The following is a 20,435-nucleotide window of genomic DNA, read 5'->3' as shown; positions in this document are numbered from 1 at the left end:
CACCACTGCCCAGCAGCAGGGCCTGGGCCCAGCCTGCCAGAGCACTGCACCATGGCCTGCCAAGTCATCCCGACACCTGCACCCTGCCCGTGTGGTCACCGCCTCAGTGTCTGCCACTCCTCCTCCCCCGCCCCCCCACCTCCCTAGCCCAGGACAGAAGCGGCACTGGGGAGGTCTCTCACGGCCTGCAGGCAGCCCCAAGGGCTCCACACTCCTCCACCCCTTTCTCAAAGACAAATCTCCCACATGCCCGAGGCCCTCGGCCCCCAGGTGAGCCCCAGCACAGATGGACAGGGACCTGTGGCCCACATGGGTTAGAAGAGAGGAGCCCAGGTCCTGTTCCCTGGGGCCACCAGCCACATAGGACTTCCAGGGCTGAGTCTCATGAAAGCGCAGAAGGTACGAGGCCCAGAACCTTTTTTTTTTTTTTTTTTTTGAGACGGTGTCGCTCTGTTGCCCAGTCTGGAGTGTAGTGGCGAGATCGCAGTTCACTGCAGCCTTTGTCTCCCAGGCTCAAGCCATCCTCCCATCTCAGCCTCCCAAGTAGCTGGGACTACAGGTGCGCACCACCACACCCAACTAATTTTTGTATTTTTAGTAGAGACGGGGTTTCTCCAAGTTGCCCGGGCTGATCTTGAACTCCTGAGCTCAAGCGATCTGCCTGCCTCAGCCTCCCACAGGGCTGGGATAACAGGCGGGAGCCCCTGTACAGGCCAGGGTGCAGCTTTTTACATGTTACACCCCCTGAGGAAGGAGGCGGCCAGCCCTTAACACAGAGGCGCTCTGCAGGGGCAGCTGTGGAAGCCGGCCTGGGAGGGGGCACGGCCCCACCCACTGTGGTGACTCAGCACCCGAGGGGTGAGCCTAGAGGTGAACAGGCCGGTCCCTGCAGGCACACGGCCCTGGAGGGCTCCCCACGGCAGCTGGGCCAGACGACAGGCATGAACGTGTCTGGCACCCATGTGTCTCCAGCCCAGGATGGCACTGGGGCCATAGCTACCATCTGCTGGGCGACCTGTCCCGCGGCATGACAGGGCACCATGTGGGGCAGCCCCGTCTCTCAGGCACCATCCAGCTGGGTCACCGTGTTGGGTCTGCAGTCAGCTGCCTTTGCCCGAGTAGCATACGCTGCAGAATGAGGCCTCTGTGGCCGGGCACGGTGGCTTATGCCTGTAATCCCAGCACTTTGGGAGGCTGACGCAGGCGGATCACCTGAGGTCGGGAGTTCGAGACCAGCCTGACAAACATGGAGAAACCCCATCTCTACTAAAAATACAAAATTAGCCTGGCATGGTGATGCATGCCTGTAATCCCAGCTACCAGGGAGGCTGAGGCAGGAGAATTGCCTGAACCCGGGAGGTGAAGGTTGTGGTGAGCTGAGATGGTGCCATTGCACTCCAGCCTGGGCAACAAGAGAGAAACTCTGTCTCAAAAAAAAAAAAAAAGAAAGCAAGAAAGAGGCCTCCACTTTGTTCCGCCCTGCTGCAGCTGGACTGGCAGGGTGGCCGTGGAGACAATGGGTTTGGAAACCCTGCTAAGGTGGATTCAAAGTCCCAAAGCCCGGTGGCTGAGCTGTACACAGTCATGACCTCATAGTCTGAGGCTGGGGTCCCACCTGGGCCCTGAGAGCCTCTTCCCCCGGCTAGTGCCCCGTCCTGGGCGTGCCTTGCAGCACAGGAATCGCTGGGGCTCCTTCTGGCACTGCCCTGTCCGCATCACTACCTGGGCTCTATTTCAGCACAGTTTCCAATCAGCTTGTCAAGTTCCCTAAACAGCCTCAACAACGTGGCATCTTGAGGGTGCAGGATCGTGAGGACGAGGGAAGACCAGGTGCCTCCCTGCAGCCCTGAGCCCGGGACCAGGGCTGGTCTCTCCAGTCCTGAGCCAGGGACCAGGGCAACCCCTCCAGTCCTGAGCCGGGGACCAGGGCTGGTCCCCGCGTTTTCAGAACAAATGGGCTCCCCTCCTACGTTCTCCCCAGTGTAACACGTTATTAGGAAATTCTCCTCGTAAAACAACAGGAGCCGTGCCCCAAACACCCAACACTCATTGCCGAGGCCCCAGAACTAAACCTGCCACACGGTCCATCCTCACAGCTACCATCCACCGGTCCATTTTATTTTTAGAGGGATTTCAAAGTTTTTTTCTTTTTGGAGCAGAGTCTCGTTCTGTTGCCCAGGCTGGAGTGCACTGGCGCGATCACGGCTCACTGGAACCTCTGCCTCCTGGGTTCAAGCGATTCTCCTGCCTCAGCCTCCTGAGTAGCTGGAATTACAGGCAGGCACCATCAACCTGGCTAATTTTTGTATTTTTACTAGAGATGGGCTTTCTCCATGTTGTCCAGGCTGGTCTCGAACTCCTGACGTCAGGTGATCCGCCCACATCAGCCTCCCAAAGTGTTGGGATTACAGGCGTGAGCCACTGTGCCTGGTCAGATTTCGAAGTTTTAGAGCTCAGGACACTGCCCCAGGTTTGAAGTTTTAGAGCTCAGGACACTGCCCCCTGAATCAGCTGCAGGTTCAGTCCAGCATTTGCGTGTCCTTCCTGCGCTGCCCTTCGGAGGTGGGATTCACAGTGGATTCATCCCCCCTTCCCCGCCCAAAAGGCTGCCCCTGCGGTGGGCTCCTCGCCGTGTCGTGCTGCGTGTGCCCGCCTGGTGCTGTGCCGCGGCTCACAGGGAGGATGGGGTTTGGTTTGCCCATCTGCCCTTGAGGCACGCCCTCCCGTCTCCAGTTCTGACTCTCCAGAGCGGAGTTCCGGCGAACACGGCTGTGTAGCTCTTCCTGCGGGCAGCCGTCCCCTTCTCCGGCAAAGTGTCAGTCACGTGCTGACCACCAAGCACTGAGCTGCGCTCCCCCAGGCTGAGGAGGACAAGCCCTCGCCTGTGTGCTACACCGTCCCTCTGCTGTCTGTCGATGTATCATCCAGCTGTGGCTCCCTGACGGGCAGGCGGATGCTCGCCAACGTCCTCCCCAGCCTGGCTGGCCTCATGCTCTTGGCAGCGTCTTGATGGGCGGGCCTTTGAAGCTCTGATGCATCTGATGGTGATGGGGTCCTTCCCGGCTCTTCTACTCTGCACTGTGGAAGAAACCTTCGCCTGAACCCCACCGCTGTGTGCGGCTGGCGTGTCAGAGACCTGGGTGTGTGCTGGGTGGGTGTGGCAGCATCTGAGGCCTGTGGATCTGCAGACTCCTGGAGGAGGTCGGGCGCTCTGGGCTCTGAAAGCCAAAGGGGCCTCCTCCGGCAGTACTCGCGATGCATGCAGAGGGCAGGAGAGCCCACGGGGCCTGGCAGAGAACAGCTCCAGAGAGGCTCAGGAGGTTCCGGGGGACACACAGGAGGGAGGACGCCACAGCTCCAATGGCCGGAGTGCGGGGTCCTCCCTGGATTCTCTACTTCAGCTGAGAACCCAAAAGGTCCACACCTTGGCACAGGGCTCCCTGGCCTTGGAGTCGCTCATGTTTACCCTCAGCCTTGCCCCAGCAACGCTGAAACCAACCTGACAGAAACAAGGTGAGCCACGGGGACAAACTCAGCGCTCAAGCCGGGAGACGGCACCCTCCACACCTCACGGCACACACCACGGCCACGCCCAGTGAGGCTGTCCCACAGGTGAGTGAGGGAGGTGTGACCGTGACAAGGGAGGAAGAAGCAGCACAGACGTCACTCCACACAGTGCTGTGTCTTTGATGCACCCCCCAAGGGTCATGTGTTGGGAACCTGGTCCCCAATCCAGCACTGCTGGGGCTGGGGCTGGGGCCTAGAGAGAGGATCTGAGTCGCTGCCCTCGTGGATGAGTGAATGCCATCAGCAGGGGAGTGGGTTCCTGACTAAAGGGCGAATCCAGCCCCCTCCGGTCTGTGCCGTCCTGCCTTCCACCATGCCTTCTTGCCATGACATGGCAAGAAGGTCTTTGCCAGACGCCACCCTCAATCTGGGGCTCACCAGCCTCCAGAACGGTGAGCCCATCAATTTCTGTTCATTATAAATGATCTGGCCAGGTGCAGTGGCTCATGCCTGTAACCCTAGCACTTTGGGAGGCTGAGGCAGGTAGATCACGAGGTCAGGAGTTTGAGACCAGCCTAGCCAACCAACACACAGTGAAACCCTGTCTCTACTGAAAATACAAAAATTAGCTGGGTGTGGTGACGGGCGCCTGTAATCCCAGCTACTCGGGAGGCTGAGGCAGGAGAATTGCTTGAACCCGGGAGGCGGAGGTTGTGGTGAGCCAAGATAGTACCACTGCACTCCAGCCTGGGCAACAGAGCAAGACTCCATCTCAAAAAATAATAAATAATAAATAAAAATAAATGACCCAGTCTGTGGCATTCTGTTACAGCAGCACAAAATGGACTAAGAAACAGCACAAACATGTTCAAAGATTTAAAGGAAAAGATGGCCAAAGTGAATGTGCACATGGGAAATCTCAGCTGAGAGCGAATGGACAATCAGACGAAACCGAAAAATGCCACTAAGCAATCAAAGATTCACCACATGGACTTCTGGGGTTGGAGGCTGCAGAAAAAGAGTAAACTTTCAAGCAGCAGCAGCAGCAGCCGCACAGCCTGACACCAGGAGAGCACAGAGGCAGACGGAAAACAGCCAGGGCTGAGGGACCTGGGGACAGGGCCAAGCACTCCTGTCACACGCAGAACCAGAACCCAGGAATGAGAGCAAGGCTGGGTATGGTGGCCCACGCCTGTAATCCCAGCACTTTCAGAGGCCAAGGCGGGCAGATCACCTGAGGTCAGGAGTTTGCCAACATGGCAAAACCCTGTCTCTACTAAAAATACAAAAATTTAGCTGGGCGTGGTGGCAGGCACCTGTAATCTCATCTACTTGGGAGGCTGAGGCAGAATTGCTTGAACCCAGGAGGCGGAGGTTGCAGTGAGCCGAGATCGCGCCACTGCACTCCAGCCTGGGCAAGAGAGTGAGACTCTGTCTCAAAAAACCAAAGCAAGGCCAGGCGCGGTGGCTCACGCCTGTAATCCCAGCACTTTGGGAGGCCGAGGCGGGCAGATCACGAGGTCAGGAAATGGAGACCATCCTGGCTAACACGGCGAAACCCCGTCTCTACTAAAAATACAAAAAATTAGCTGGGTGTGGTGGCGGGCGGCTGTAGTCCCAGCTACTTGGGAGACTGAGGCAGGAGAATGGCACGAACCTGGGAGGCAGAGCTTGCAGTGAGCTGAGGTTACGCCACTGCACTCCAGCCTGGGTGACAGAGCGAGACTCTGTCTCAAAAAAAAAAAAAAACAAAGCAGGCGAGGCGCGGTAACTCACATGTGTAATCCCAGCACTTTGGGAGGCCGAGGCAGGTGGATCACCTGAGGTCAGGAGTTCAAGACCAGCCTGGCCAACAAGGTGAAACCCCATCTCTACTAAAAATATAAAAAATTAGCCAGGCATGGTGGCTCACGCCTGTAATCCCAGCTACTCGGGAGGCTGAGGCAAGAGAATTGCTTGAACCCGAGAGGCAGAGGTTGTGGTGAGCCGAGATGGTGCCACTGCACTCCAGGCTGGGCAACAAGAGTGAAACTCCATCTCAAAAACAAAACAAAACAAAGCAAAGCAAAGCTGAGATGGAAAAACGTTTCATGAAATAATGGCTCACATTTTTCCAAAGTTAATTTGAAAAAGTACCAACACAGAGATCCAAGAAGTCAGTGGATCCCAAGCAGGATAAAAACAGAAAGCCTCATCTAAGGAGAGCATAGTCAATATTTTAAATCAAAGATAAAAACCTTAAAAACAGAAAAAACGACACATTCTAGAACATTCTAGACAACGGAACAACATTCAACAACCGGAGTCCACAACAGGCTCAACATCAAAGCCACCAACAGTCCTGAGTGCTGGGGACGTGGAGTGCTCGAGGAGCCCAGTGCTATTCAGTTCTATTTGGGCAGTTAGTTCTATTCAGAAGGGCCCAAATCCAGAAACAGCCAAGCGTCCCTGCGCTGGGAGCAGATGAAGAAGGGCTGGTGTGTCCTCCGATGGACGGCCTCCCGGCACCCCTGAGAAACCACGATGTGCGGCTGCCCGCGAAGCACACAGCGCCCAAAATGCCAGGCTGAAGAGAGCGCAAACCGCAACTCAGTAAAAGCTGGCGTCACCAGGCCGGGCGCAGTGGCTCACGCCTGTAATCCCAGCACTTTGGGAGGCCGAGGTGGGTGGATCACAAGGTCAGGAGATCAAGACCATCCTGGCTAACACAGTGAAACCCCATCTCTACTAAAAATACAAAATATTAGCCGGGTGTGGTGGCGGGCGCCTGTAGTCCCAGCTACTCGGGAGGCTGAGGCAGGAGAATGGCGTGAACCCGGGACGCGGAGCTTGCAGTGAGCCGAGATTGCGCCACTGCACTCCAGCCTGGGTGACCGAGCGAGACTCCGTCTCAAAAAAAAAAAAAAAAAAAAAGCTGGCATCACCCACGTCACTCTCATCTGCCTACAGGGACCTGCACTATTCAGCAGCCTGCAACCGCCGCCCAAGGACAGGACCCACATAGCCATCTGGGTTCCCAAAAGCCATACCCCGCAGGCTGCAGGTCACGGGGCTGTGCCAGGCATGTGTGTGCAGATGAGCCTGTGTGCCTGTGTATGCGTGGTTGTGGCTGTGTGCGCCTGTGTGCGTGTGCTTTAGTGTGCACATGTGCATTTGTGGGCACGTGTGTACATGTCTGCATGTGTCTGCACGTGTGTCTGAGCGTGCACACACACACGGGGTTGGGAGGCCACAGCTCCTGTTGGGAAAAGCTCAGTCTCTTGGCTGAGAAACGGAGCCCGGGCCTCCTGAGCCACAGGCCGTCGGACCGGCAGTGAGGCTTCGTGGCCCAAGCCCAGCCTCTGCGCAGAGGTGGAATCCCAGCAGCCTCCCCAAGGGCTGGGGTGGGATCTGGTTCGGGTGGGGTCTCAAACCCCGGCCTCCTGGGGCCCTGGGTGCAACCAATGGGAACACAGAAACAGCCAACAGTGACCCCAACAGCTGCCCTCGCCTGGGAGAAGCTGCTTGACTCATAGGACACACACTTCTGCCGCATAACTGCCTGCTGAACCCTTCTGCCCACGAGTGGCAACTACCATTCATCCTCATTTAACAGGTGGGTAAAGTGAGGCAGGAGGTGGGAAGCAGGGCCACAAAACATGCCTGGGGTCCAGGCCGCCACAGCCCATGCTCCTGCGCCCCTGGGCGGCCGCTCTTGAAGATGCAGCCACATCATGACCACTGCGTGGGCCTGTTTCCCTCATCTGACAACCTCATCGGGCTGAGTGCCTGCCATGGGTGCCATGGGCACCGCCTGCCATGGGTGCCCACGTGAGGCCGATCCACTGCCGTGGCCTCTCGGACCTGCCCATCCTGCGCTCTTTCCCAGGGACCCTGATTCCCACCACGACAGACACTGACTGGGGGTGCACCTGGGTTCCCCGGACAACCCCAGCAACAGACGCCAAATGCCCTCCCGCAGGAGCTCCGGCAGCACCAGCAATAAATTTAACCACATTTCCGGGGATGATTCAGCTCCCTGGCCCAGCTAATCACAGACTGGGAACGGCCCCAAAGGTGCTCAGAGCTCCCCCAGGCCTGATGGTCATCTTCAGGCACCCCCACCCCAGGGAAGGCACCCCTGGCCAATGAGAGGCTCAGTCCTCGGCCCTGCTCCTCACGCCTGCCCGGGCAATCAGACCCCGACCCGGGAGAGGTTGGTGTGAGCAGAAGGGACGGAGCCAGGTGGGCCAGGTGCGGCCTTTTACATGGTGAAGCTGGGAGTGGCACACAGCAGTATCATCACCACAGAACAGTCACTCCAGCCACCTGACGCCAGCTCCGGGCTGGCCAAGACCTCCCACGAGCTGAGTGCCGGGCAGGCACCTGCCGTTAAAGCCGGGGCTTCGCCCAGCGTGCACATGGGCCATGAAAGTCATTCACAACTTAACATCGGGCTCCTTGCGGCGTGGCCTGGCCTGCTCTGGGCCACCTGCCTCCCAACAGAACTGTTTCCCGAAAAGGTGACAGGGCCAGAAACCCACTCTCCCCACAGAACCTCCTCGAAGGGAAGTGGCACTCGCACCACGACGGACTGATGATTCAACGCACCTGCCAGTGACATGGGGCGGCCCCGCCAGAGGCTCCAGTGACCCCGGGCGGCCCCACCAGAGGCTCCGGTGACTCGGGGCGGCCCTGCCAGCAGCCTCCCGACCCCACCTACCACCGAGCAGGGCCTCACCTAGGCGGAGCTCCCCGAAGTTGCCGCAGCCGATCTTCTTGCCGACGCGGAAGTTGGGGCCCACCATCAGGACCCCCGAGCTGGTCCCCGAGCTCCGGATGCCGTGGCTGCTCCGGCCCCCGCCGGCCTTGGACATTCTCCGGCCCTCCTCCGTCTCCCCTTTCCCTCCTTTCTTGTCAAAATCCATAAGTTTGTGATACCCTGGCCTCTCCACGGTGACTCTGCTGCCGTGCAAATCCCAAGTCTCTGGAAACCTGAGGTCTTGGCTCCTCTGTGGCTAGAACATCACTGCGGCCGGTGGGCGGGCGTGGGCCCGTGGCTCCCAGCTACTGAGACGCAGGCGTTCGGGCCGGCCAGGCCGCGCTGCTCTTCTCAGTGGCCTCGGGGTCGCTCTCGGGGGCAGGAGACATTCTGCTGACACATCCCACCGCCTCAAAGCTCACGGCTCACAGCTGCAGAGAAACAGAGGCACAGGTGAGCACCGGCAAGGCCCCCGCGGGGCCACTGAGGACACGGGGCGGAGGCCACAGAGGACACAGCCAGGAGACTGCTGGGCTGGAAGGAGCTCTGAAGGCCGGGGCATGATGAGCACCGTCCCTGCCCGGAACCCAGCTGGGAAGCACACATCACATGACATCAGAGGCCAGAGATCTCGGCGTGGCTGCCTGGGGACGAACAGGGTAGGGCTCAGGGGGCTTTCTGTAAAGCGGGATGGGTGGGTGGGTGGGTGGGTGGCACAGGTGGGAGAGTGTACTGCCAGGAGAGCATGACTGCCAATCCCGGGTAGAAGCCCTGAGGATCCTGAAGCCAGGGGAGCAGTCGCACCCCCAGACACAGAGGGGCCACACAACAGTCCCCGTATCCAGGCCCAGGGCCGCTCTGGGAAAGAGGGAGGGAGGCAGATGACAGCAGGCAGGCCCGAGGCAGGGACACAGGAGCCACCGAGCTGCCCCTGCCCATGGCGACTGGTTGATGCTGAGAGCGGGGAGAGTGGGCCGGAGGGCAGGAGGCCCCGGAGAGCCGGGCACTGATGCAGGAGCCCCCAGGGCCTGACCCAGGCTCGGGTTCTTCTCCAGCAGCCACTGGTGGAGCGGGGCAGGCTGGACGCCACTCGAGGCTGTGATGATGCCAGGCTGGGTCGGACCCATCCCCTTCGGTGCAGAGCGGAGCTGAGGAGGGAATGGCGGGGCTTGAGGGACCAGCGGAGCCAACAGCCACCTAAGCAAGGCTGGGCACGGGGCAGGCAGCAAACTTCTACCCCAGGGGAAAAGACAGAAGCCTCTGGTCCTGAGAAGGAACACGCAGTCCCTGCTCCCGGGATGGTGGGACCCCAGCCCACAGCCCCTCGCTGAGTCTGCACCACCTTAAATGCTCCCGAGCCCAGAGCTGAGGGCCCCAGAGCCTGTTGCCACCCACAGAGAAACGCCGTGTCTGGACAGGGGCTCATGGCTGAGGGGACTCTGTGCAGGTCGCTCTCTGGAGCGAGGGGGCCAGCCAGCCCCGGCTGGCATGGAGCCCAGTCTCAGCGCAGGCCCCGACGGGAGGCAGGACGGTCCCCAGCAAGGAGCCTCGGGACAGCCTGGGGAGGAGGGAGGAGGGAGGAGCCCCACCTGCAGAACTGAAGGGTGGTCAGGGGCAGCCTGGGGAGGAGGGAGGAGCCCCCACCTGCAGAACTGAAGGGTGGTCGGGGGCAGCCTGGGGAGGAGGGAGGAGCCCCACCTGCAGAACTGAAGGGTGGTCTGGGGCAGCCTGGGGAGGAGGGAGGAGGGAGGAGCCCCACCTGCAGAACTGAAGGGTGGTCAGGGACAGCCTGGGGAGGAGCCCCACCTGCAGAACTGAAGGGTGGTCGGGGGCAGCCTGGGGAGGAGGGAGGAGGGAGGAGCCCCACCTGCAGAACTGAAGGGTGGTGGGGGCAGCCTGGGGAGGAGGGAGGAGCCCCCACCTGCAGAACTGAAGGGTGGTCGGGGGCAGCCTGGGGAGGAGGGAGGAGCCCCACCTGCAGAACTGAAGGGTGGTCGGGGGCAGCCTGGGGAGAAGGGAGGAGGGAGGAGCCCCACCTGCAGAACTGAAGGGTGGTCGGGGGCAGCCTGGGGAGAAGGGAGGAGGGAGGAGCCCCACCTGCAGAACTGAAGGGTGGTCGGGGGCAGCCTGGGGAGGAGGGAGGAAGGAGGAGCCCCACCTGCAGAACTGAAGGGTGGTCGGGGGCAGCCTGGGGAGGAGGGAGGAAGGAGGAGCCCCACCTGCAGAACTGAAGGGTGGTGGGGGCAGCCTGGGGAGGAGGGAGGAGCCCCACCTGCAGAACTGAAGGGTGGCAGCTGTGGTGTTAACTGGACGCTCGGGTGGTGCAACCCCAGGGACGCGGCTGTCACCTCGTCGCCCTCAAGCCAGGTACCCGCCCAGGAGGCCAAGAACCCTGCACCGGGAGCCACCGCAGCCACCTGCCTGTCTGCACAGATCCTGCCGGGTCCTCCCTGACCCAGGCCCCAGCCACCCCTGGCCCCATTCTAGGGCTCCAGACAGACAGAAGCCCCACCCTCACTGAAGAAGGGGGACCACAGTTTGCTGCTGTGCCCCAGATGTGCAGGGGAAGAGGTTTCCTGCCAACCGGCAGGACGTAGGGGCCGCGGGTGAAGAGGGGCCGTGGGTGCACAGCCATCGCCGAAAATGTTAGGACAGGAACTCCCAGCTGAGTAAGCCACATCAGAAACGAAGGCACCGGCGTCACAAGCACTGCCCCCCTGGATGTGGCCCCTGCGTTCCGGTGCCAGAAACACCCTGTGGGGATCACAGGCCTTGGGTTCCGCACGGCAACAGCCGCTCGAATGTTCTGGTTTCCCAGTGCACACACAAGTTACGTTCACAGTATACCGTGGTCTAGGAAGTGTGCAGTAGCGTTGTGTCTAATCAAAGGACACACTTTAATTAAGCGGGGCGTGGTGTGCAAGCCTGTGGTCCCAGCTACTCGGGAGACTGAGGCGGGAGGATCGTTTGAGCCCAGGAGGCGGAGGCTGCAGTGAGCTATGATCGCACCACTGCACTCCAGCCTGGGGGATACAGCAAGACCCCATCTTAAATAAATAATAAAGAAATAAAAATACTTTACTGCTAAGCAATGGTAATGATCATGGGAACCGGGAGTGGCCCTAATCTCCCCGGAGAAGGGTCTTGCCTCAATGTGGACGGCGGCTGACTCGTTGGGGCGGTGGCTGCTGGAGGCTGGGGCAACTTCTTAAACTATGACCACAAAAAAGTTGGCCACAGCGATGGACTCTTCCTTTCATGAAAGATTTCTCTGTGGGGCGTGATGCTGTCTGATAGCATTGATTACCCACAGCAGAACGTCTTTCAGAACTGCAGTCGGTCCTCTCAACCCGGCCGCGGCTTCATCAACCGAGGTTCCGGGCTGTTCCAAGTTCTTTGTCCTCATTACCCCCAGGTTCACAGAATCTTCACTGGGACTAGAGCGCAACTGAAGCAACTCCCCTGCTCACCCTTCAGAGGCAACTCCTCACGTGTTAAAGTTTTCTCGCGAGACAGCGACAATGCAGTCACATCTCCAAGTCCTTCTCATTCTAGTTCTCTTGCTGCTTCTAAAACCTCTACAGTCCCTCCTCCACTGAAGTCCTGAACCCTCACAGTGATCTTTCAGGCCTGGGACCAACTTCTTCCAAACTTCCGCTCATCCTGACATGTTACCTCCTCCCATGGATCACGCGTGTCCTTCACAGCCTCTAGAACGGCAAAGCCTTTCCGGGGGTTTCAATTTACCCAATTTCCCCAGCTCCATCAGAGGAATTGCTCTCCACGGCACCTACAGGCACCTAGAGCCTTACAAATGTATTTCTCAATAATGAGAGTCATGGGCGGCTGCGGTGGCTCCTGCCTGTAACCCCGACACTTTGGGAGGCTGACGCAGGCAGACTGCTTGAGGCCGGGAGTTCAAGACCAGCCTGGGCAACACAGGGAGACCCTATCTTTACAAAAATAAAAACAAAATTAGCCAGTCATGGCGGTGCGCACCTGTGGTCCTAGCTACTTAGGAGACTGAGGTGAGAGGATCGCTTGAGCCTGGGAGGTGGAGGCTAAAGTGAGCTGTGATTCTGCTTCTCCACTGCAGCCTGGGAGACACAGTGAGACCGTGCCTCAAAAACACTAAGACTTGGCCAGGCACAGTGGCTCAGGCCTGTAGTCCCAGCACTTTGGGAGGCTGAGGCGGGCAGACTGCTTTGAGCTCAGGAGTTCAAGACCAGCCTGAGGAACATGGTGAAACCCCCTATGAAAAAATATAAAAATTAGCTGGGCATGGTGGCACGCACCTGTAGCCCCAGCTACTCAGGAGGCTGAGGAAAGACAATTGCTTCAACCCGGGAGGTGGAGGATGCAGTGAGCCAAGATCGTGCTACTGCACTCCAGCCTGGGTGACAGTGGGACACCTTGTCATGCATAAATAAATGAATGAATGACATGTCAAGGAGTCATCTTGATTTCCGAGTCATTCATTCATTCATTGATCCACAGGCTACAGGCTGGATGTTGTGCTAGCAGGGATGGAAACAATGATCTTTTTTTTTTTTTTGGAAACGGAGTCTCGCTCTGTCGCCCAGGCTGGAGTGCAGTGGCACAATCTCGGCTCACTGCAACCTCCGCCTCCTGGGTTCATGCCATTCTCCTGCCTCAGCCTCCTGAGTAGCTGGGACTAAAGGCGCCCGCCACCACGGCCGGTTAATTTTTTGTATTTTTAGTAGAGACGCGGTTTCACTGTGGTCTCGATCTCCTGACCTCGTGATCTGCCCGCCTTGGCCTCCCGAAGTGCTGGGATCACAGGTGTGAGCCACCGCGCCCGGCCGGAAACTGATCGTGTACGTCTCCACTAGGGATCTTGGGTGACCAGGTGCGTTGTCAGTGAGCAGTCATATTTTGAAAGAAATCTTTTTGGCCAGGCGCGGTGGCTCACACCTGTAATCCCAGCAGTTTGGGAGGCCGAGGCAGGCGGATCATGAAGTCAGGAGATCGAGACCATCCTGGCTAATACGCTGAAACCCCGTTTCTACTAAAATTACAAAAACATTAGCTGGGCATGGTCGTGGGCTCCTGTAGTCCCAGCTACTCGGGAAGCTGAGGCAGGAGAATGGGGTGAACCCGGGAGGGGGAGCTTGCAGTGAACCGAGATGGCACCACTGCACTCCAGCCTGGGTGACGAGCGAGAATCAGTCTCAAAAAAAAAAACAAAAAAACAAAAACTTTTTTCTGAACAATAGGTCTCAAAAGTGGGCTTCAAATATTCCATAAGCCAGGTGTTAAACAGATGTGCTGTCACCCAGGCTCTGTTGTTCTATTTATAGAGCACAGAGTAGATTTAGCATAATTCTCGTGGGCCCTAGGATTTGTGGAATGGTAAAAAGCCCTGGCATCACCTTCAAGTCACCAGCTGCGTTAGCCCCTAACAAGAGGGTGAAGAGGGTGGGCCTCTCCTTGGAAGCCAGGGAACCGCTTCTTCCACACGAGGAAAGTCCTGGGTGGCATCTTCTTCCAGAAGGCTGTTTCTTCTACCCTGAAAAGCCACCTCCAGCAGTGACCTTGGCTAGATCGTCTGAATGCTGGCTGACACGTCTCAAGGAACACTTAATCCTTTTCACCTTGAACCTGGTTTTTTTTTGTTTTTTTTTTAACACAGGGTCTCACTCTGTCACCCAGGCAGGAGTGCCATGGCGCAATCACAGCTTGCTGCAGCCTCGACCTCCTGGGCCCAAGTGATCCTCCCACCTCAGCCTCCAGAGTAGCTGGAACTACAGGCACACATCACCATGCCCAGCTAATTTTTAAAAAAATTTTTGTAGGCCAGGAGCGGTGGCTCATGCCTGTAATCCCAGCACCTTGGGAGGCCAAGGCCCAGCACTTTGGGATCACCTGAGGTCAGGAGTTTGAGACAAGCCTGGCCAACATGGTGAAACCCTGTCTCTACTAAAAATACAAAAATTAGCTGGGCATGGTGGCGGGTGCCTGTAATCCCAGCTACTCAGGAGGCTGAGGCAGGAGAATCACTGGAACCCAGGAGGCAGAGGTTGCAGTGAGCCAAGATCGTGCCATTGCACTCCAGCCTGGGCGACAGAGCGAGATTCTGTCTCCAAAAAAAAAAAAAAAAAATTTGTAGAGGCTGGGCGCAGTGGTTCACACCTGTAATCCCAGCACTTTGGAAGGCCAAAGTGGGTGGATCACTTGAGGTCAGGAGTTCAAGACCAGCACGGCCAACATGGTGAAACCCTGTCCCTACTAAAAATACAAAAATTAGCTAGGTGTGGTGGCGTGCACCTGTAACTCCAGCTACTCGGGAGGCTGAGGCAGGAGAATCGCTTGAACCTGCAAGGCGAAGGTTGCAGTGAGCCGAGATCACACCACTGCACTCCAGCCTGGGTGATACAGCGAGACACTGCCTCAAAGAAAGAAAATAGGCTGGGCGCGGTGGCTCATGCCTGTAATCTCAGCACTTTGGGAGGCCGAGGCAGGGGGATCACGAGGTCAGGAGATAGAGACCATCCTGGCTGACACGGTGAAACCCTGTCTCTACTAAAAATACAAAAAAATTAGCCAGGCATGGTGGCGGGCACCTGTACTCCCAGCTACTCGGGAGGGTGAGGCAGGAGAATGGCATGAACCCGGGAGGTGGAGCTTGGGCGACAGAGGGAGACTCTGTCTCAAAAAACAAAACAAAAACAAACAAAAAGAATCAATGGGCTATAATAAACTCACGAGAGTACTGTATATTTTATTTTCATGAAAAATTTATAATAAACCACCACGTTACTCCCTGTCTCTGTGGCTGGGCCTGCCCTGGACATTTCATAGAAATGGGATCACACACGGCATGTCCTCTGTGTCTGGCGTGTCTCATTGAGCCTGGAGTGTCTCATTGAGCCTGGCGTCCTGAAGGTGCGTCCACGCCGTGGCCTGAGTCAGAGCTTCTTCCTTTTCATGGCTGGGTTGTGTTCCAGTGCATGGAGGGCCACACTACGCCTCCTCCTCTGCTGACGGCCATCTGGGTTGTAGCCACCGTCCGGCTGCTGGAGTCCACGGCGGCGTCTGCGCACGGGCTTCTGCGTGGCTGCGGGCTTCCACTCCACCTGGGTACATAGCTGGGAGTGGTCGTGCTGGGTCGGATGGGAGATCTGTGCATCTTTGAGGAGCCACCAGGTCGTCTCCACAGTGGCTGCTGCACCGAGTCGTCCTCCACCTGCCGCTCCCGGGGGTCTGACTTCTACACACCCACCCCAGCGCTTCTGTGAGCTTTTGTGTTTGTTTTGAGACAGGGTCTGGCTCTGTCGCCCAGGCTGGAGCACAATGGTACCATCTCAGCTCACTGTAACTTGTCTCCCGGGCTCAAGCAATCCTCTTGCCTCAGCCTCCCGAGTAGCTGGGACCACAGGCATGGACCCCCATGTCTGGCTAATTTTTTTTTTTTGTAGAGATGGGATCTTGCTATGTTGCCTAGGCTGGTCTCAAACTCCTGGGCTCAAACAATCCTCCCTCCTCGGCCTCCCAAAGTGCTGGGATTATAGGCGTGAGCTGTGGTGACCCCACTTCTGTGCTTCTGGGCACAGCCATGCTGGGGGTGTGCTTTTTTTGTTGTTGTTGTTGACAGAGTCTCACTCTTTCGCCCAGGCTGGAGTGCAGTGGCACGAACTCGACTCACTGTAACCTCTGCCTCCCAGGTTCGTGCAGTTCTCTGCCTCAGCCTCCCGAGTAGCTGGGACTACAAGGCACCTGCCACCACATCTGGCTAATTTTTGTTATTTTTAGCAGACACGGGGTTTCACCATCTTGGCCAGGATGGTCTTGAACTCCTGACCCCAGGTGATCCGCCTGCCTCGGCCTCCCAAAGTGTTGGGATTACAGGCGTGAGCCACCGCGCCTGGCCAGGGTGTAATTTTAATTTGCGTGTTTTTGGCTGACTCCTGGTTTATTTTTGGATGCGAGTTTTCTCCACTGCACTGGGTCAGGGATGCAGTGCTGTGTTGATGCTGGACACGAGGGAGGTGGCAGGAGACACTGATGTGGCCGAGTGGCCGTGGTTGAAGAAGGGATGGCAGTCGGTGCCCCTCACCCCTGCTTAGCGGCCAGCGGATTTCTTGAGCTACCGACTCTCCTTACTGCCCAAACATCCAGAAACACCCACGCATGGCTAACCTAGTTTCTCTAAACCAGACCCATATTAAAATTTAACTTCCTTCCTGGGCGTTTTGGGGGAGGAATCTCCTCATGTGCCCTGGGAGAGGGATCTGTGAGACGTAGTCCCCCACCCCCCACCGCAGCTCATCTCTCTTCCAGCACAGGGACTGGGCGCCGTGCCGCTTTGGGGGCACCCCCTAGTTCCAGACAGTACCTCACGCCTCAACACTGGGGCCCCTCCCAGGCTCCACTGTCCTGGGATCCCCCACTGAGGCCCAGCTCCTGGGACCACCCACCAGCAGGGCCTTCTGGAGAAACGGACAGCAATGGCCTGGAGTATAGGCTGCTGGGCCCTGCCTGCGAGGCTCCTCAGCATGGGCTGGAGACTCAGGGTGACGCACACACCCCAGCCAGGAGGGATACCTGAGGCAGCTCCACCCAACGCCTCTGTGTAGGGGAACAAGCAGCAGCGCTGACCACTGAGCCGGCCTCAAGTCCTCCACCCGCCACGGCCAGGTTCTGGCCATGGGGACCGCCCCCTCCACGCCCCTCCACAGCCATGAGAGCCACGGGAACAGCCCCCTGACAGCGAGAATGCCACAACCGCGACGGCCAGGGCTGGGGTCACACTGGGCTGTCCCTGTCACAGCCCGTCCATCCGTCTTTCCACTGCGGCTGCCAACGGGACGGACAGGGGGACTTCCGCAGAGGACCACCATGCGGGGGCGACGCATCCACAGGAGAGGAAACCGGAGCCCGAAGCCTCTCCTCTGCCCACGCCCCGCCGCACACCGGCCCACACCTGGATGAGCCACCAGCACGGGGACATTCTCCTTCTTCTGGAAACCCTCTCAGCATCCACAGGAAGAGGGGGCTGAAACGTCCGTGCCTGCATTTTGTTTTGTTTTGAGACAGAGTCTCGCTCTGTCGCCCAGGCTGGAGTGTAGTGGTGCGATCTCGGCTCACCGCAGCCTCCGCCTCCCGGGTTCAAGTGATTGTCCTACCTCGGCCTCCCAGGTAGCTGTGATTAGAGGCATGTGCCACCATGCCCGGTTAATTTTTGATATTTCTGGTAGAGACAAGGTTTTGCCACGTTGGCCAGGCTGGTCTCAAACTCCCGACTTCAAGTGATCCACCCACCTTAGCCTCCCAAAGTGCTGGGATTATAGGTGTCAACCACCACGCCCTGACTACTATTAGATTTTCCAGCCCACAAGAAAGCAAAACCACATGCGTGTACACAGACACACACACGGAGACCCCAGGCGCAGGCACACGGGGGACACGGCAGCGTGTCAGAGCCGGGTGTGAGATCCAGCACGGCAAACATCCCGAGGGGACACTGCCCAGAGGCCCCGCCTGAGGCCAGCCTGCTCGCGCCACACTGCCTGCCTTTCTCGACGAGGGCTGGAGGCTGCCCGAGAGGCAGCATCCTGAAGACACAGGCCTCAGCTCTCCCCTGCCAGAAAGCGGCAGGACGTGTGGGCCATCTCAGGGGACTGCGTGCAGAAGCCGGGTAGGGAGGGGGAAGGGGCAGGCGCCATCCGGGGGACCTTCCCTGTGGACTGAGGGCGAGAAGGCCCCAGGTCCCGGATGTACCTATCTCCTAAGCAGGACGCCTTTTCTTCCTACACGCCCCTGTGCTGACGCAGACATTCGGCTGTGGTAGGGTCAGGACTGGCACCAGGGAGGGCAGGGAAGCTCCGGACCCTACATGGGGCCCTGGACGTGGGTGGGGGTTTCTGCCTGCCTGGCTTCCCCCAGGTTATGCCCTTTACAACAGCAGGGAACAAACTCTCACTCCCCAGTTCCGAGAGTCCTGCAGGAGGACCGTGAACCCAAACGGGGTTGTGGGAGCCACAATGTGTAGCCAGGGATGTGGGGACCCAGGGTGGCACTAAAGGTGGGGCGGGTGCTGGGGGACCCACGGTGGCACTAAAGGTGGCACAGGTGCTGGGGGACTCAGGGTGGTACTAAAGGTGGGGCGGGTGCTGGGGGACCCAGGGTGGCACTAAAGGTGGGACGGGTGCTGGGGGACCCACGGTGGCACTAAAGGTGGCACAGGTGCTGGAGGACTCAGGGTGGCACTAAAGGTGGGACGGGTGCTGGGGGACCCACGGTGGCACTAAAGGTGGGGCGGGTGCTGGGGGACCCACGGTGGCACTAAAGGTGGCACGGGTGCTGGGGGACTCAGGGTGGCACTAAAGGTGGGACGGGTGCTGGGGGACCCACGGTGGCACTAAAGGTGGCACAGGTGCTGGGGGACTCAGGGTGGTACTAAAGGTGGGGCGGGTGCTGGGGGCCGAGCATTAAAGGTGGGGCGGGTGCTGGGGGCTCAGCCGCAGCCTGTAGGGTCTGTGCTACCCTGCGCAGGCAGGTGTCCGGGCAGGTAAGACACCCCGATGCCACGTCAGGAAAAAGACATCACACCCACCCTCTCTGTGAGCCCCAGAGCTCCAGCCCTTTCCCAGACAAGGGAGTGGGGACACTCACAGGCCACTGAGAGGGAGCTGCCAAAACCCTCGTTGAGGACAAGAGACTGGAGGCCACCAACCAAACCTGAAAAGCAAACGTCACCGACTTCACGAGGAAAACAAATCCATCCCTTCTCGCCATGAGGATGAAAATATCCTCTATTAGATGGCACAGACAGAGACACAGCCTCATGATGAGCTAAAGGCACTGAGCTGCATGAGTTACACAGCTAGCGGGTACAGCCCGAGTGTCACACCTCAGTTATTAATACAAAAACCAACTCGCACCCTGGGAGCAGATGGAGATGCAGACTGGGAAGCCACATGGGGAATTTGGGGAAGGGACGCTCAGGACCCAGAGCCAAAGCTCATACCCACACTCAATACCGGCTGCTGTGGCCCTGGACGGGGGTGGGGGGGACGGGGGGAGGGGGGACAGTGCCTGGACGGGGGATGGGGGACGGGGGGAGAGTGCCTGGACGGGGTAACGGAGGACAGTGCCTGGGAGAGCTGGGCTGCTGCGGCCCTGGATGGGGGGACAGGGGGACGGGGGACAGTGCCTGGGAGAGCTGAGCTGCTGCGGCCCTGGATGGGGGGACGAGGGGAGGGGGGACAGTGCCTGAGAGAGCTGAGCTGCTGCAGCCCTGGATGGGGGGACGAGGGGACGGGGGACAGTGCCTAGGAGAGCTGAGCTGCTGCGGCCCTGGACGGGGGGACGGGGGGACAGGGGGACGGGGGACAGTACCTGGGAGAGCTGAGCTGCTGCAGCCCTGGACGGGGGGACGGAGGGACAGGGGACAGTGCCTGGGAGAGCTGAGCTGCTGCGGCCCTGGACGGGGGGATGGGGAGATGGGGGGGACAGGGGAGATGGGGGGACAGGGGACAGTGCCTGGGAGAGCTGAGGCCCTCTAGACACCTAGCAGGAGCCGGGCAGCTCTCCTGCCCTGGTGCACCAACCCCACGGCCCCCACTGCTGAGCCCTGCAAGACGGCCCTGCCGGGCTCCTGTTCCCCTAACATACACACTCGCTGCCCAAAAAGGACGAAGCGAGGCCCAGCGGCCTCTGGGAACCACCGAGAAGGAAGCCGTGCTCTGGACAGACATCAGGGGCACAGGCTTTGGTGGGGGCAGTGGGAGTCCCAATCGCCCCTCAATTCCAGGCAGAGCAGGCAGGTGCCCCATGAGGCTGCGCTGTGCTTCCAACGCCTCCAGACCTGCTCGGGAGGGGCCCCTTACTCAGCCACCGATGTCCCTCAGGTGTCCCATTAGGATGTGGGCAGTGCCGTCGTCAGGACGCGTCCCAACACCCGGCTTCCGGACAAGACAAGCGCACACCTCCAACCCCTCCCTGCACACGGGGGAAGCACGTGGTGACATGAGGCTGGCTCTGCCGTGTGCCCCGCAGCTCCAGGGGGCCCTAAGCAGTGGCCGTGCCACACACACAGTGCCCGCCGAGCGCCCACCCCACATAAACGGCGCCCGCCTAGCTCCCACCCCACAAACACGGCGCCCGCCGAGCACATACCCCCCACACACGGCACCCACCGAGCACACACCCCAGTGTTTCCAGG

The 20,435-nt window shown here is 59.0% G+C and overlaps 1 protein-coding gene across 9 annotated transcripts in view; it reads right to left on the bottom strand.

The window, feature by feature from the left end:
- Nucleotides 1-20,435, bottom strand: part of CSNK1G2 (casein kinase 1 gamma 2) — a 40,167-nt gene that overhangs the window by 3,152 nt on the left and 16,580 nt on the right. For 5 of the 9 annotated variants that reach the window (XM_005259498.2, XM_005259500.2, NM_001319.7 and 2 more), the window contains exon 2: nt 8,228-8,679. In XM_005259498.2, the coding sequence (XP_005259555.1) occupies nt 8,228-8,414 (187 nt within the window). In that variant the 5' untranslated portion in view covers nt 8,415-8,679. Of the gene's footprint in view, nt 1-2,072; nt 3,079-8,227; nt 8,680-9,281; nt 9,397-20,435 lie in introns of those variants that run through there. The other 4 variants (XM_047438184.1, XM_047438185.1, XM_005259501.2 and 1 more) reach the window with 2 other exon arrangements.

The sequence above is a fragment of the Homo sapiens genome, chromosome 19, assembly GCF_000001405.40.
Source record: "Homo sapiens chromosome 19, GRCh38.p14 Primary Assembly".
NCBI lineage: Eukaryota > Metazoa > Chordata > Mammalia > Primates > Hominidae > Homo > Homo sapiens.
The sequence above is the reverse complement of the archived record's forward strand: the minus strand, read 5'-3'. Positions and strand labels throughout refer to the sequence as shown.